The sequence below is a fragment of the Homo sapiens genome, chromosome 14 (genome assembly GCF_000001405.40).
Source record: "Homo sapiens chromosome 14, GRCh38.p14 Primary Assembly".
In the NCBI taxonomy this organism is placed as follows: domain Eukaryota; kingdom Metazoa; phylum Chordata; class Mammalia; order Primates; family Hominidae; genus Homo; species Homo sapiens.
The window spans coordinates 70,852,115-70,870,756 of NC_000014.9; the positions used below are offsets into that span (position 1 = coordinate 70,852,115).

At 39.9% G+C, this 18,642-nt stretch overlaps 1 pseudogene, besides 1 other annotated feature; it reads right to left on the reverse strand.

The window, feature by feature from the left end:
- TMEM183AP4 (TMEM183A pseudogene 4) lies at positions 6,757-7,311 on the reverse strand (annotated as a pseudogene).
- Positions 12,417-13,616: an enhancer, noted in NCBI's record as "MED14-independent group 3 enhancer chr14:71331248-71332447 (GRCh37/hg19 assembly coordinates)". NCBI's record gives its function as "activates an origin of replication core promoter dependent on BRD2, BRD4, P300/CBP and CDK7 cofactors, and independent of MED14, by STARR-seq in HCT116 cells {active_cell/tissue: HCT116}" and the evidence as "EXISTENCE:reporter gene assay evidence [ECO:0000049][PMID:35650434]".

Here is an 18,642-nt window from a genome sequence, read left to right on the forward strand (position 1 = left end):
CTAACTGTGGTTTTGATTTGCATTTCTTTAATGACTAATAATGCTGAGCATTTCTTCATATGTTTGTTGGCCACTTGTACGTCTTCTTTTGAGACACATCCTTTGCCCATTTTTAATGGGGTCATTTGTTTTTTACTTGTTGATTTGTTAGATTAGGCCTTTGTCAGACACATGGTTTGTGAATATCTTCTCCCATTCTATAGATTGTGTGATTTGAAACGATTTTTAAGATAAGAAATCTACTTTCTAGGCAGTGTAATGCTGAGGGCATATTGCCTCCTATATTTTTGTGTTTACAGTCCTTGGCCTGCATTCTTGCACATTGTAGACCACAATTCCTAAAAAGCCTTGCATTCAGCATGAATACATTTATTTTCTAAGAGGATGAAAAATTAGAGTAACAATTTTAAATAACCATTATTAGAAGTCAGGTGTAAAACACATGTGATTGTTAATTTTGAATTAGAAATTGAAGATCTCTCTTCTATATCCAGGATTATTCTCAAGGGGTTCCTTGCTGATCCAAGTGTGATGGGCTGAATAGGTCCCCAGGTCCCCAATTCACATGTTGAAGTCCTAATCCCCAGTACCTCAGAATGTGACTGTACTTGGAGATAGAGTCTTTTAAAAAGTAATGAGGCTAAAATGAGGTCATTAGGGTGAGACCTAATCTAATATGACTGGGGTCATAAGAAGAGGTTAGGACACAGAGGAAAGTCCATGTGAAGACATAGGAAGAAGACAGCCATCTGCAAGCCAAGGAGAGAGACCTTGGAAAAAAACAATCCTGCCAGCATCTTGATCTAGGACTTCTAGCCTCCACAATTGTAAGAAATACATTTTTGCTGTGTAGGTCATCTAATCTATGGTAGTTTGTTATGATAGCCCTAGCAAACTAATATACCAAGTATTTTCAAGTTTTGTTTTGTTTTTTGAGATGGAGTCTCACTCTGTCACCCAGGCTGGAGTGCAGTGGCATGATCTCGGCTCACTGCAACCTCCACCTCCCAGGTTCAAGCGATTCTCCTGCCTCAGCCTCCCAAGTAGCTGGGATTACAGGTGCCCTCCACCACGCCCAGCTAATTTTTAGTAGAGACAGGTTTTCACCATGTTGGCCAGGCTGGTCTCGAACTCCTGATCTCAAGTGATCCACCCACCTTGGCCTCCCAAAATGCTGATATTACAGGCGTGAGCCACCACGCCCAGCCCCAAGTATTTTTTTAAACTGCATAGAATGGGCCTATTTTCATGTCATTTGTGTACAAAGAATTGCAAAATTAGTATTCAAAAGAAAGACTTGTATTATATTGTTGGGTGGCTCTAAAGCCTTAGGTCAAAGTGTGGCTTAAAACAATACACCCTAAAAAGGCTCATCCATAATGTCAGAGAAAACACCTGAACTGCCTTAGGCTTTGTCTCAGTGTCTGCCCAAATTCTACCTCCACTGGTGGATGTTCAAAACCCATCCTATATTTTACAAGGTAGCAGAGAATAGTGTGCTAATGACTGGAATGAGATAGACTTGGATTTGAATGCCAGCTCCATGACTTTACTGGCTACATGATCTTGGGCAAGTTAATGTAATTGTATAAGCCTCCACTCCCTTATCTATAAAATAAGACTCCACTCCCTTATCTATAAACTAAGACTTGGTCAAAGTGTCAGAGGCATTTGAACCAGAGCAACTCCATCTTGAATAGGAGCTGGGTAAAATAAGGCTGAAACCTACTGGCCTGCATTCCCAGATGGTTAGGCATTCTAAGTCACAGGATGAGACAGCAGGTCGGCACAAGATACGGGTCTTTCCCTTGCTGATAAAACAGGTTGCAGTACAGAAGCTGGCTTAAACCCACCAAAACCAAGATGGCCATGAGAGTGACCTCTGGTCGTCCTCACTGCTACACTCCCACCAGCACCATGACAGTTTACAAATGCCATGGCAACATCAGGAAGTTACCCTATATGATCTAAAAAGGGGAGGCATGAATAATCCACCACTTGTTTAGCATATAATCAAGAAATAACCATAAAAACAGGCAACCAGCAGCCCTCGGGGCTGCTCTGCCTATGGAATCGCCATTCTTTTATTCCTTTACTTTCTTAATAAACTTACTTTCACTTTATTGACTCACCCTGAATTATTTCTTTTTTTTTTTTTTTTTGAGACGGAGTCTCGCTCTGTCGCCCAGGCTGGAGTGCAGTGGCGGGATCTCGGCTCACTGCAAGCTCCGCCTCCCGGGTTCACGCCATTCTCCTGCCTCAGCCTCCCGAGTAGCTGGGACTACAGGCGCCCGCCACCACGCCCGGCTAATTTTTTGTATTTTTAGTAGAGACGGGGTTTCACCGTTTTAGCCGGGATGTTCTCGATCTCCTGACCTCGTGATCCGCCCGCCTCGGCCTCCCAAAGTGCTGGGATTACAGGCACCCTGAATTATTTCTTGCATGAGATCCAAGAACCTTGTCTTGGAGTCGGAATTGGGATAACAAAAGGACACAAAATTTCATTTGGACAGAAGGAATAAGTTCACAAGATTTATTGTACAACATGGTGACTACAGTCAATAACAATGTACTGTATTCTCGAAAATCACTGAGAGTAGATTTTAAGTGTTCTCACCACAAAAAAGTATGAAGTATGTGAAGTAATGCATATGTTAATTAGTTCCATTCAGCCAGTCTACATTGTGTAAATATTTCAAAACATCATGTTAAAAATAAATAAATAAATAAATAAAACAAAATGGGAATCATGATAGGACCTAACTTTAGGGCCTTTATGAGGATTGAGAAGGATGATGGTGTAAAGCTTTTAGTACAGTATTTTAATTTTTTTTATTTTTCTAGAATCTGGCTTATTGTTGATAGAACAGTATTTATCATTTAAGTTTTTTTGTATCTCTCACCTCTAGAGATGGAGAAGAAATTGCTAAGGAGTACAAAAATTTAAACATTATTAAATTTAAATAATCCTTTTTAACTTAATGAGACTAAAGGGAAAAGACAGACATAAGCCAATTATAAGGCCAAGTCATTTTAGTGGCCTGATTTATGGGGCGCAGAGCTTCGCATGCCTACATTACCCTCAATTTTCTCAAATTGAACACGTATTAATCTTTCAGATAGCATCTTTTGTCGAAACTTGGAGTTATGAATGGCCCTCACCATATTGATGCTTTCTTACTGAGCTCCTCTCTACCTTGCACAAAAGAGACCCTAATAGTTAGGCAGGAATATTACTGCCCCTATTCAGCCTGAAGAAGTTACGAAAGATGGATCTTCATCCCTCTGCAACCTTTAGGATTAAGGGTTCTCTTATAAAAGGGAGGGAGGAAATGTCAGGGTGTTTGAACCAGAGCAACTCTATCTTGAATAGGGGCTGGGTAAAATAAGGCTGAGACCTACTGGGCTGCATCCGCAGACAGCTAAGGCATTCCAAGTCATGGGATGAGATAAGAGGTCGGCACAAGATGCAGGTCATAAAGACCTTGCTGATAAAACAGGTTGCAGTGAAGAAGACGGCCAAAACCCACCAAAACCAAGATGGTGATGAGAGTGACCTCTGGTGGTCCTCACTGCTACACTCCCACCAGCGCCATGATAGATTACAAATGCCATAGAAACATCAGAAAGTTACCCAATATGGTCTAAAAAAGAGAGGCACGAATAACTATGCTAAGGAGAGGCATAATAACTATGCTAAATACCCCTTGTTTAGCATAGAATCAAGAAATAACTATCAAAATGGGCAACCAGCAACCCTCAGGGCTGCTCTGCCTATGGAGTAGCCATTTTTTTATTTCTTTATTTTCCTGATAAATTTGCTTTCACTTTACTCTGTGGACTTGATCCAAACTTTCTTGCACGAGATCCAAGAACTCTCTCTTGGGGTCTGGATCAGGACACCTTTCCAGTAACAAAAGGAAGCCTAACATGACTAGCTCCATTTTGCTCCTAACCTCCCCATGCCCATAGTGATATCTTTTGGGTTAACTACTTTTATTTATCTTTGTACATAGGCTGAGTTAACTATGGGAGGAATTTAATTTATAGCCTAACTTTTTAAAGGGAAGGATGATGATAGTCCCTTCTCAAAACTAATCTTTAAGAAGATAAAGAAGTGTACACACAAGTAACAATGTTATGTTAAAGATGTATAGGAGCATTTTGACCTGACCAAGGGCAAAGAAGCTTCACAACCCCCCAACTTGGACCCTAACTGCCACCCAGGTATCTATGATCATCAGTCACCTCTTGATCTCAACTGAAGGCTCTCTAATTCTCCTTTCCTCTAACATAAAAAAGCCTAAAATTCTATTAACTTAAGATGGTTATTTTGGACACTAGTCTGCCATCTTGGCTTGCTGGTTCTCTGAAATAAAGTTACTTTCCTTGCCCCAACACCATGTCTTTTGACTAATGGGCTTCGTGTGGCAAATGGTATGAGCTTTGGATTCAACTGCAAGAATCCATGCACCTCTTTGGATCTTATATGTTTGGAAACTTTATGGTTAATTATCTTTAACTCCTGGTCTATACCATATATTAATAGCATAGGCTGATTAAGAGCAGCATGTCCTTGTTGACCCAGGAGGTTTTGTCATTCTTAAAACTACTGATTTTAGACCAAACTATATAGAAATTCATTCCAGATATATTTAACAGATAATATTAACAAAGCGAAAACGAATTAAAAGAGGTTTACTACCATGGAAAATCACAGTCAATTAAAAGTAAATACCTGAACTTATTTCCATATTTGAAGAGTTACATTCCAAGATTCCAAGATTCTTCCTGCTGTGCTGGGGCCACTACATCAGCCCTAAACTCATCAGTGAGGAAGGGAATGTGGTGAAGGATGAGTTTGGTTAAGGATGTGGGCGCATGATCTACTTGTCTGTGGTTTGTTCCTACAGGCAGTAGAGATGGGTGCATAGTGATGAGTCAGTGACCATTCATTCAACAGGCATATACAAAAGGCACTGATGATATTAGACCAATAAGGCACAACCCTTGTTCTCAAATTCACAGTCTATTCCAAGACTCTGCTGTTCAAATGTAGTCCTTAGATGAGCAGCATGGACATTGATTGGAAGCTTTTTAGAAGTGCACAATCTCAGGCCCCACCCCAGACCTACTGAATCAAAATCTACATTTTAGAAATAACTCCAGATGATTCATATAAGTAGTAAAGTCTCAGACGTACTGTTCCAGGACAGACACATAAACAAGTACAGGTTATTTCTGGTGTAACATCTTATATGCAATCCTACAAAACTCACATACTGCAAGATTGTGCACTAAAATAACAGAGTCTATGGTGGAAATTGGTTAAGGGCAGACTTCTGAAAACCTACAAAATTTTGAATCCAGAGCACTAACAAAAACAATCACAATTCTAATAAAAACAATAGTTAAATCTACTGGTATTTGTATCTAGTATCAGTCAATTCTTTGCTGTCTTCAACCTGCAGGATTCAGACTTCCTCCTTTGAGACATAATGTCAGAGGCATTTGAACCAGAGGAACTCCATCTTGAGTAGGGACTGGGTAAAATGAAGCTAAAACCCTATGGGGCTACATTCCCAGACTGTTAGACATTCTAAGTCACAGAAAGAGGTAGGAGGTCAGCACACGATACAGGTCATAAAGACCTTGCTGATAAAACAGTTTGCAGTAAAGAATCAGGCCAAAACCCAGCAAAACTAAGATGGCAATGACAGTGACCTCTGGTTGTCCTCGCTGGTACATTTCCATCAATGCCATGACAATGTACAAATGCCATCGCACCGTCAGGAAGTTACCCTATATGGTCTAAAAGGGGAGGCATGAATAATCCATCCCTTGTTTAGCATATAATCAAGAAATAACCATAAAAATGGGCAACCAGCAGCCCTCAGGGCTGCTCTGTCTAAGGAGTAGCCATTCTTTTATTCCTTTACTTTTTTTATTTGAGACGGAGTTTCGCTCTTTTTGCCCAGGCTGGAGTGCAATGGCGCGATCTCGGCTCACCACAACCTCCGCCTCCCAGGTTCAAGTGATTCTCCTGCCTCAGCCTTCCGAGTAGCTGGGATTACAGGCATGTTCCACCACGCCTGGCTAATTTTGTATTTTTAGTAGAGATGGGTTGTCTCCGTTTTGGTCAGGCTGGTCTCGAACTCCTGATCTCAGGTGATCCGCCCACCTGGGCCTCCCAAATTGCTGGGATTACAGGCATGAGCCACCGAGCCCGGCCTTATTCCTTTACTTTCTTAATAAACTTGCTTTCACTTTATGCTATGGGCTTGCCCTGAATTATTTCTTATGCAAGATCTGAGAACCCTCTCTTAGGGTCTAAGTGAGGACCCCTTTCCTGTAACAATAAGACCTAGATATTAGTATTTTATTTGTTAAAAGAAAATTTTTAGGGGGAGAATTTAAAGAGTTTAATTTTTTCCTAGAACAAGATCAACAGTTTTCACTGAGATAAAAGAATAAAGAACAACAAACTCAATAACACCAAATGGGTTTTTGATACAGAAAACAGGGCCGCTCCATTCAAATGCAAATTTTTACATTAAAATATGTTTATAAACCATAGTTGTTGTTCCCCCTGATTCAACACTTCTCCGTCCTCTAACGGGAGCCCCAGGAACTTGAAGAGCATGTGCACTACTAACTAGATACACAATCCAGCCGCCCCTTCCAAGCTGGAATCTGATTACTACTGGACTAGACTCAGGGCTGCCCCCAAGGGATGGAAAGCAGTAACTATGGACTCAGAGAGAATGGCTACTGAGGATCCCACCAAAGAGTTGAACGCTGTGCACTGGGTCCAGTGCAGTTTCCCACCACTATGAACAGGAGAACCTTGGAATACCAGTCTTGATGATGCTGCCTGTCCTTGCTCACACTGATAGTAAACAGGGTAAATATTATTCTCATGGCAATTGGAATAAAAATGAAATGGAGAATGGTGACCTGCAGTGGGCAGCAGTCCTGGTCTGTGTTGGTATGAACATGTTCATGCTGAAAAGGAGGCTGCAATCCCCCCATACAGTTGCTCTGTGACCTAGGGGACTGTTTCTTGAACTTGAAGTTGAATTCTTAAATTGGTTCCTGTCTGTTCCCAACTGGAAGTGTTTTCTGGAATGATTGGATTCTCAGAGACTCGAGCAACAAATGGCTCATACATATGCTACAGAGATCAGATCACACAAGCTTGGAGACAATGTAGTTTCTCCACTGACTCTGGTGGCAGGTGCAAAGGCAGGAAGCATCCAGAGGGGAATGCCTTCGGTACAACCTGGTCCAAAAACTAGCCGTGCAAGTGACAGGAGCTCAGTGCAAAACAATACATTTATTTAACAATTCCCTTCTTTTGCTCGGGTTCTCTCCTAGGTCAGAGTGTGACCAAAATCTAAGGCTTTAGAGCACCACTTTCAATTACCATCATTTCGGTTTCTCGTCTCAGCATGTCATTCATAGGTTATGGTATCCTCATGATCATGCATTTCTTTGAGTTTTGTCATTCTAGCCAAAGAGTAACAATTTGACATTCTACAAATGGCTGCATGTTAGCAAACATTTAAAACTTTTGAGAGAATACAGTGCACCAAGGTGACCACTGTCATCGGGAGGATAATACCAACAGTTTGCAGATGCCCCTTAGCTAGGGTCCCCATGAGCTAAACAAACAAAAATCAAATAAATCAAAGAATAAACCAGATGAAGAGTGTACCTATTTTAACCAAGCGGCCTGTTCATTAATCCTCTGCAAATGAGTCTCTATAATACCCAGCATATTCATCCATGTGCAAAACGTGTCAGCAACTGCACGATTTCTCCCTATTCAGCCAGTAGGGAATCTAGAGCAATTCTATTATCTAGTACAACTTTAGCAAGAGAATTTAAAGTCTGTTATGCAACCATAGCCTTTGCAATAGAATCTGCTATAGAGATGATTATAAGGAATTTCCTTCCTTCCTTCCTTCCTTCCTTCCTTCCTTCCTTCCTTCTTTCTTTCTTTCTTTCTTTCTTTCTTTCTTTCTTTCTTTCTTTCTTTCTTCTTTCTTTTTCTTTCTTTCTTTCCTTCTTTGAGACAGGGTCTTGCTCAACCTCCCAGGCTCAAGCAATTCTCCCTACCTCAGTCTCCCAAGTGGCTGGGAGTACAGACATGTACCACCATGCCCAGCTAAAATTTTAAAATATTTTTGTAGAGACAAGGTCTCACTAGGCTGGTCTCAAACTCCTAGGCTCAAATGATCCTCCCACCTCAGCCTCCCAAAGTGTTGGGATTACAGATGTGAGCCAACACACCCAGTCAGGAATACATTTCAAATTATTGCCTCATTTATATTTACTCCAAGCCATGGAAAATAAATCTAACATTGGCCCTTCATGCTCAATCCATCAAAGGCATAAGGTTGCCCATGTGTAAAGTTGGCTGCAAAATCCTCCACAAATAAAAGTATACCCCACGGATAGACATAAGGCCCCTTTTCCAGTTCTGTTGTTCATGGATACATTACCTGGAATGGTGAAATTAGCAATTTCAAACCAAGGGCCTGAGGCAGAATTACGGGTTGAAAGAGTGCTATCATATCCTGACACATAAGTCAGTTTGCAAGAAACTCCATTTGGGCATTGGTGCAAACCTGTCTTGTGATATACTCATTGGTCATTGTTCTTGTATCCCATTATTGGATTAAATTAAAACAGGGAGTGAGAGCAAGTCGGTTTAGAAGTCTTACTACTAGTACAATTTGAACAACAGTTATGTTAGGAATGTTGCTAACATTACCCACCAGGTTAACTAAAGGATCCCTTAGGTCATGTAAAATCTGGGTTTGGCATGACAGATTCAACACTCCATGAATTTACCCATAAAAGCTACTCATTGTGAAATTCTAATTACAGCATTATCCTGCCAAGTTCAAGAGGTAGGCATACGTAAGGAAAGATTAAGAAAAATAAGAGTTTCATGATGGCAGAGAAATTTTGATTTGTGATCTTGGGGAAGCTGCTTAAGTCTAGGATACCATCTGCTTCTGGGGAGAAACTTCCCTGGTTAGCTTTACCTTAAAGTTTATAATGGGTATACAGTTCCAAGAGTTTGGGGGGGCCCTTTTTAATTTGTGAGATATGGATTCAAGTATCAAAGTCCCAAAGTTTGGCTGCAGATTGAGTGGCAAAGGCAGTCTTTTTCTGATACCATTTCCAGAAAACCAAATCTCTGGGTTCTAGATCATGAAGGATTTGAGTGCTCTTGGTCAGTGCATTCTGCAAAGCTTCCTTTACCTGGTGAAAATACACTTTGACATAATGCATCAAAGCCTCGCAACATTTAGTCATATCCGAGTTTAGGATCCTTTTATAAGGGGGTCAACTTACATTCTCCACTGTAAGTGCATCTGGCTTTTATTAATCTGCAATACCTTTTATCAATCTGCAATATCAAGGCAATCCAGTCAATTCAGTTAGCTTCACCTAAGGCTATTAAATCTGTAATACTTTATTTAACTGTTTTCCAACTTCTCCAGTGAAACAAGTACCTTTATCCCTAGAGATCTCTTCAGGAATCCCCCATGAGGAAAACACATTTTCTAATAACCTTTTAGCTACTGTTATAGAATTGGCTTCCTGCATGGGAAAACTTCTAAACCAGAAAACATGCACTGAAAATGGCAACTGAGGGCAGGCGCAGTGGCTCATGACTGTAATCCCAGCACTTTGGGAGGCCACAGTGGGCAGATCACTTGAGAAGAGGAGTTCAAGACCAGCCTGGCCAACATCACGAAACCCCATCTCTACTAAAAATACCAAAATTATCCAGGTGTGGTGGTACACGCCTATAGTTCCAGCTACCCAGAGGGCTGAGGCATGAAAATAATTTGAACCTGGAAGGCGGAGGTTGCAGTGAGCTGAGACCACTGCACTTCAACCTGGATGACAGAGCAAGACAGACGAAAGAAAGAGAGAAAGAGAGAGAGAAAGAGAGGGAGAAAGGGAGGGAGGAAGGGAGGAAGGGAGGGAGGAAGGGAGGTAGGAAGGAAGGAAGGAAGGAAGGAAGGAAAAGAAAGAGAAAGAAGACCACTATAAAGGTCCAATGGCCCATACCTAAAGTTTTGATTGTCTTCTCGGGATTATAAATTTGATAAACCAAACATTGGTCATAAACCATATCAGCAATTTTAGAACAGTCACCACACCAATGTATGTTTTTTTCATTATTTGGATTATTTTATCTCTTCCATGATGAGCCATGGAGTGCAGAGCTTTTAAAAATGAAAGCATCAAGGACTCAGGAAGGACCAGGCAGCCACCCAGGCTCTCCATGAGTCCATGCTTAAAATTGGATTTATAGTCTTTTATTTTTATTTTATTTTTTGAGGCAGGGTCTCACTCTGTCGCCCAGGCTAGAGTACAGTGGCACGATCTCAGCTCACTGCAACCTCTTCTTCCTGAGTTCAAGCGGTTCTCCTGCCTCAGCCTCCCAAGTAACTGGGATTACAGGTGTGTGCCACCACACCCAACTAATTTTTTTATTTTTTGGTAGAGACAGGGTTTCACCAAGTTGGCCGGGCTGGTCTCGAACTCCTGACCTCTGGTGATCTGCTGCCTCGGCCTCCCAAAGTGGCTGGGATTACAGGCGTGAGCCACTACACCCAGCCATTTATAGCCTTTTAAATACCAATTTTATTTCTTTAATTCAGGTACATAGCACTGTTTACTACAGTATGATAGCAATGTGCTATCATATGTAATTTGACTTGGATCATGGAGTTCCTTTAAATTGCATATCTTAACAATTTCAGTACTGGCTGACTTGTACTTTCTTGGTATTTAATTAATTCTTGTCCCGCTTAGCAGTTTTACAAACCAGTAAATCTTTTCATTAGAGGTCTGGGGGATTCTTACACAGTCTAGTGATATGAATTTAAGGCTATCAGAAGCCTGTACTTATCAGAGTCTTTCCATCCTTCTCAGTCCATTTTGCATTGCTGTGAAAGAATACCTGAGGCTGGGTAATTTAGGAAGGGGTTTATTTGGCTCAGGGTTCTGGAGGCTGTACAAGAAGCATGGCACTGGCATTTGCCCCAGTAAGAACCCCAAGAAGCTTCCAATCATGGCAGAAGGAGGAGGGTAGCTGGCATGTCACATGGCAAGAGAGGAAGAAAGAGAGAGACAGGGGAAGGATGCCATGCTCTTTTAAACAATCAGCTGTCATGTAAACTAATAGATCAAGAACTCATTTGTTACCACAGAAATGGCACCAAGCCATTCACAAGGGGTCTGCCCCCTTTACCCAAACACCTCTCATTAGGCCCCATTTCCAAAATTGGTGATCAAATTTCAACATGAGATTTGGAGGGGACAAATATCCAAACTGTAAACACCATCTTTTCCATGAACCTCTTTGAAGATATAACACTTTAGGATTACAATTGCTTTTAAAGAACATTCAGGAAAAAGTATCAGAATTAAACAATTAACTGTGGACAACAAGACTTAAGATAGTCATGGTTAAAGACACAGTTGACAAGGAAATCTGGTTATTTCTGTCACCTACAATAATTTAACATAATAATTATAATTATGACTGATAACATACCAGGACCTATCAGAATTTTAGGAAGCTCGTACAATTTTGGAAGACATATTAATGACATATCTATACAAATGTAACTCCAAAAAAGATTAAACACCACGTCTTACATGATAATACTTCTTATATAATTTAACATATCAAATAAGCCTGTTTATTATTTTCCTTTGGTATGCTTCAAGGGCCCTCTGGAATATCTCAAAGTTAGTTTGAGGTTAAAAAGACTTAATTTTGATTTTGAAATTTGATTTTGAGAAGCCTGTCAAATATGTCAAAGGTTTAGAAGGCTTGATCAAAAAAGACCATAAGTCACTGTAAAATAACAGTCACTAATTTAGCCAAAGTAATAATAAAAAGATTTTGGCTGGGTGCAGTGACTCAAACGTGTAATCCCAGCACTTTGGGAGGCCGAGGCAGGTGGGATTGCCTGAGGTCAGGAGTTCGAGACCAGCTTGGCCAATATGGTGAAACCTCGTCTCTACTAAAAGTACAAAAATTAGCTAGGCATGGTGGCGGATGCCTGTAATCTAAGCTACTCAGGAGGCTGAGGCAGGAGAATCGCTTGAACCCGGGAGGCAGAGATTGCAGTGGGCTGAGATTGTGCCGTTGCACTCCAGCCTGGGAGATGGGAGCGAAACTCTGTCTCAAAAAAAAAAAAGAAAAAGATTTTAATAAGCAAAAATCTGTTGATTTTGATCTTTGATAGAGAGGAGACTCATTTTACCAAAGACCTAACAAAGGCAGCATAAGACACACAAAACTGGTTTCTCTCTCTCTCTTTCTCTTTTGAAGTTTACTCAAAAAGACAAAAATATTTTACTATATCTCAGTACTACATGAAAATCTTTTTAAAAGAGAAAACTAAATTATACTTTTATATTAGATGTACTTTTAATACTAAGTACTAAATTTCAATCCTTATAATAAATTCATTTAATCTAGTTTAATCACAAAAAAATTCTTTTACTATTGTTCTTTCTTTTTTAAAACTTTTAACATTCATTCCATTTTTTCTATACTATTTCTTTCTGCCTTCATTTTGAAACAACCTTTAAATAACCTAACTAGACAAAATGACATTTTTTAACAAAAACCACATTTTCATGCCTTTCTTATAAACTTGCTGACCAAAAACATATCTTGCTTTTCTTATACACTTTGCATACAGAATTATTTCTCTTGTTTTTAGTTACATATATGTAATATATGTACAACATATGTACATACATATTACATATTACATATATGTAGTGATGCAGGATTTTTGCTCCTTAGTTCAACTAAATCCAGGTTCTTGTCTCACAACCAGGAAAAATTAGGTATGCGAGCACATTGAAGGGTGAGGAGGGAGGAATTTACTAAGTGAAAGGAAAGCTCTCAGCAAAGAGAGGGATTCTCCAAGCAGGTTTCTCCCTTACAATTGAATACCAGGACCACCACATATGAGCTTATGAGGCCAGGCTCCTCCCCTGAATAAGGCATGAATTCCTGGTGGCCCCACCCCATCCCCCAATGTATATGTGGACATGCCCAGGCAAGCCTGGTAGTATTGGAAATAGGTAGTATTGGAAAAGGCAGCATTCGATGGGTTAAAAGGCATTATTCAGAAAGTATCAATTGGGAAGGGGTGGGCAAACAGGGGCAGAAGTTCTCCCTCTTGGTCACAGGTTTCATCTGGGACTAGCACTCCAGTCTTTCAGCCTTCAGGCTGTTTTAGACTTGAAGGTGAGGTTTTAGGCCAGGGGCCCTTCCCTGTCTGCCTAGACATTTGTCTGCCTTCTGCTTCTATCAATCATTCCACCCTCTATAGAGGTACGACTAACTGCCCTTAGAACAGGAATGAAGATCAACCTGTCTTTTTTTTTTTTTTTGAGATGGAATCTCGCTCTGTTGCCCAGGCTGAAGTGCAGGTGCGATCTCGGCTCACTGCAAGCTCTGCCTCCTGGATTCACACCATTCTCCTGCCTCAGCCTCCCGAATAGCTGGGACTACAGATGCTCGCCACCACACCTGGCTAATTTTTCGTATTTTTTTAGTAGAGATGGGGTTTCACTGTGTTAGCCAGGAAGGTCTCGATCCCCTGGCCTTGTGATCCGCCCGCCTCGGCCTCCCAAAGTGCTGGGATTACAGGTGTGAGCCACCATGCCTGGCCCAAAGATCTATCTTAACTGCTTCCTGCTGACAGGGAGTGCTGTTTTGAGAAGATGGCAGTCAGTTTTCCCTCAGAAGCTTGTCTAAGGATCTCCAGTAAAAAATGGGCCATCATCTGCGGCTCTGGTTGCATGAACTTTGGAGTTTGATGGTCTGAAGACGAGAAGAGACAAACTGGGTTATTAGAAGACTTGTATCAAAATGAGACAAAAGGTTGGGGGGTAAAGGCAGCCTGAAAAATCCCGAGGCTCCCAGCATGTCCAGAAAACAGGTGGCTATAGTTACCTGCTAAGATTTGGGTGCATGGGGTTTGGCTTTTGTTAGCTCTCTTGGTCTTATTTTCCCAAAAAGAAACCTCCAGGTTATGGGCACCCTATTTACTCCTATCACCTGGCAGGATTTGCAGGATAATTGCCCAGAACTGGAATATTGATTCAGATTTTTACATTATCCATCCCTTTTTTTTCTTCTGAGCTGCAGGAGGAGATCACTAGTTGATTCACAGGAATAAACAGGGTTAGTCTAAAATGTAGGCAAAAAAACTTTAAAACAACTAATTGGTCTAGAATTTAATGACAGATGTATGATAAGGTTTGAGACATAATTTCTCTCTCTCCAGTCCTCATTTTTGTTAAAAACAAATCATGATAGGACTGAGTTGTTTGCAAAATAAACTTTAGTCTTATATTTGGCCTGCTTGTTTGCATAAAGTGCAACAAAAATAATTATTTTTACATAGCCTTTTCAAACTGGCTTTGAAGGAACTCTGTTCCACAAGGAATCTCAGATAACACCTTTTAAAGTTGAGCCTAGCCATGTGTTTGTACCCCAAATACCTATGAGTTGGGTAAATTCCTTTCTTCTTGAGGTCCCAAGGACATGGGGTTCCTGGGCCTGTTAGAAAGTGACATTCTTTACTCCCCATACAGGGTAGGAACCCTGTACAGGGACTGTGTAGACAAGGTATGAGGCCAGTTTTCCCAAGGGGCTTTTATCAGCTCTGCAAGTTGAGCTTGATTCCTTAAAGGAAAGCATACCCTTCCAGTCAAAGCCTTGGTAAAACAACCAGCTTCTCCAATTGCATCCTGTAGCAAAAGAAAATGGATTCTTATTGCACTGATGCAAATAACCATATTGCTATAAGTTAAGAATACTCACAGATAGTTTCCAAATTCTAGAGGAACCAGGCAGAGAGAAACAAACATGCTCCAAATTTTGTTCACAGGAGTATAACTTACTCAATTATTAAAGACTGTAAATAGCTCAAAATAAAAGTTTCTTTAACTCTGAAAAACAAAACAAGGATCAGCAATGTTTTAAGCAACAGTTAATAAAAGATTACTTCAGCTTTCTATTAGTTCAGTCCATTCCATTAACTCTTGTTCTGCTTGATATTCATGAACATTTTAACTCTTCATGAGTCCTATACGTTTTTCCAGCATTCAAATGTCACAATCTCCAAAGTTATCAGAAACCTGCATTTGAGAGCACCTGTCAAAGTTCCATAGCTGATTAAAACCATCTTTTGAAGAGGATCAAAACAAGACAACAGTTGTCTGTGAATAACAAAATGTTCAGGGTACTTACAGTTAAAAACACAATTGATAAAGAAATTTGGTTATCTGTGGTTTATAATAACGTACTGTAATAATCTTAATTATGATTGATAGCATATAATCAGACATTAGAATTTTAGAAATCCCATACAATTTTGGAATGTACGTTAATATTATTCACTGAAATATAACCTGATGAAGATGAAGCATCATTTTGGCAATCCCACATACTTAAATATGTCAAATAATCCTATTTACCTCTCTTTTGGATGCAATAGGGGCCCTCCGTAGCATGTAAAATCTGGGGGTCAGGAAATATAATTTTGAAACTGAAATTTGATTTTGGGCAACCTCTCAAATATGTTAGAGGTTCAAAGCACTTGATATTATGAAACAGAACTCTAGATTACCATAAATTATTTATTTTGCCAAAATGATGTTTCAAAATTTCAAAACAAGGCAAAAACCTTTACTCATTAAGAGGAAAGACTTAGCTTTCCAGTTTATTTCCTGTCTTCTCTTTCTTTTCCTTGGCAGTTTATTCACAAGACAAACAAAAATCTTTCATTTCCCTTTGTTATTACATGAAAATCTTGTACAAGGGAGAGAAAGCCAAATTTTACCCTTACATTAGTTTACTCTTAATGTCAACCCCAATTTTCTAGGAAAACCTTACAGACAATTCTATCTAATCTTAACCAGTTTGACCATGAGATGAGATTCTTATAAAACTTTGTAATCCTTTACAAATTTTGCTAAAGAGCAGATTAGCACCTTAAGGAAACCTTCTTGTTCTTTTATTTCAATGCTCAATTTACATAAAAAACATATAATACCGTTTTGAATTTATTCTATTCTATGTTCACACACAGCATTTCTTTTGCAAGATCAGTTTTTAGAAACCTTCCACAACTTGTTTAAGCCTTTAGCTTTATCTTATCTAATTTAAAACAATCCTTTAACCTCAGGCAAAAATTTTCATTCCATGCCTTCTTATAATCTTTTACTAAAAACACATTTTACTGTTCTTACACACCTTGCTGGTGAATCCATTTTCAGTGGTCTCAATTACATGTTATAATGATAACTCTTAGCAATTTTTAACTTTAATGTAAAATCTGGTAAGTTGTTTTAATTATGCACTAGGTGCCAATGAAGTGTGACTCCTTCCAGCATAGTTAAGGGTGTGGTTAATTCCATACATCCCCAGGCCTCACCAATTGTGAAGCAGGCAAGTTGCAGAATAGTTCTCAAAAGCCAAAGAAGCAGTTTATAACCTTAAAACGTTTAGCAAACTTACTATCTGACCTACATAACTTAGACCACCTATTTACATTTTAACAATATTTGCATTTTTGGCCAGGTGCGGTGGCTCATGCCTGTAATCCCAGCACTTTGGGAGGCCGAGGTGGGTGGATCACGAGGTCAGGAGATTGAGACCATCCTGGCCAACATGGTGAAACCTCATCTCTACTAAAATACAAAAAATTAGCTGGGCATGGTGGCAGTGTGCCTATAGTCCCAGATACTTGGGAGGCTGAGGCAGGGAATCCCTTGAACTTGGGAGGCGGAGGTTTCAGTGAGCCAAGATTGTGCCACTGCATTCCAGCCTGGAGACAAAGAGAGACTCCATCTTAAAAAAAAACAAAAAAACAAACAATATTTGCATTTTTTTACCAATAATACTTACTGTTTTTATTTCTCAAAGATTAAACTCACATGAACTAAAAAATATTATAGCTTTTAATTTTCCTTCAAAAATATTCAATCTAAGTGCTTATTTTTTCTTTGGTCCAATTAATTAGAGCTTTTTTATATAAACATCACACACATAATACATATATAACTACACAGACAGACAAAAGAAGATCCAGTATTTGTAAGATTTTTCATTTGCCAGTTTTTTAATTGGATTATTGGTCTCAGGGTGGAGACTTTTAAGAAACAGGGCCCAATACAGAGGTATAGCTGGAAGACAAAAAATAAATTTTGATACAGATTGATCCATTTCTAATTCTTGGGGTTCCATAAAGGAAAGAGATGTTTCTCCCAAAATGGAATCTGTGGCACTTTTTCTGTTTTTCTCAAGGAGTCTCAGGTCATCAGAAGTTATCTTAGGGCCTCTCATGCATGCATTAAGAATTGCAAGACATGGGGAGAACAGTAATTCAGTCGACTGAGAAAAAAATCTTTTTCCAGCAAAACAAGATCCAAGAAGAGAGAACATAAAGGTCTTTTAAATATACCTATAACTTGGATATCCACTTTTAATTAAGTAGAGCATTCCTTAAGAAAGTCCTTGGCCAGGCGCAGTGGCTCATGCCTGTAATCCCAACACTTTGGGAGGCCGAGGCAGGTGGATCACGAGGTCAGGAGATCGAGACCATCCTGGCTAACACGGTGAAACCCTGTCTCTATTAAAAATACAAAACAAAATTAGCCGGGCGCAGTGGCAGGCACCTGTAGTCCCAGCTGCTCGGGAGGCTGAGGCAGGAGAATGGCGTGAACCTGGGAGGCAGAGCTTGCAGTGAGCAGAGATTGCACCACTGCACTCCAACCTGGGCAACAGAGCGAGACTCTGTCTCAAAAAAAAAAAAAAAAGAAAAAGAAAAAGAAAAAAAATAAAAAGAAAGTCCTTTTAAATTCCTTGTAAGCTGACTTTAGCCGTGCCAAGCTGCCAATATTTTTGGCATTTGAACTTTACCAAAAGTAACTCACAGGTGAAACCAACAAGCTTCAATTAAGGTTATGACTTAACCACAAATGTATGAAGTATTTTCGAAGGGGTAGTAAGCAGTTTTTACAAAATCTAGGACCTTTAAAGGTAATTCAGAGAAAGAAAGATTTAAGAAAGGAAGCTGGAAGTTGTTCATGGAAAGGAAGAGAATCAGCAAATGGCAAAAGTTACACACAGATATCAACCCAAAAGTACTCATTTCTCAAGCCAGGATTGAACCCAGGTTGCCATTGTAAAATGGCGGAGACTAAAAGAAAGTACTGCCACGTGGTTACAGGTCACACTCCCAAGGATGTAAAACAAGATGGAGGCCTGCAGCAAAGTTTGTTACTGACCAGTTTGCCAGGCTGACTTGAACAGCAGGCTTATGGGGTCCTAGGCCTACATCCTATCATATGGTACCCCTCTTCCTGACAGAATCACACAGAAAGACATGCAAATCACATCAGATTGGCTACAGCTTAAGACTAACTTCACAAATCCTTTTTCATTAATCAAAACTTTACAGAGAATATAAACAGTGATCCTTATCATTCCTTTTACCAGTTTGTACAGGTAGAGAGAGGCCAACATCTGAATGATGAAACTTTTGCCCTTTTTCCAGCATGTCATCC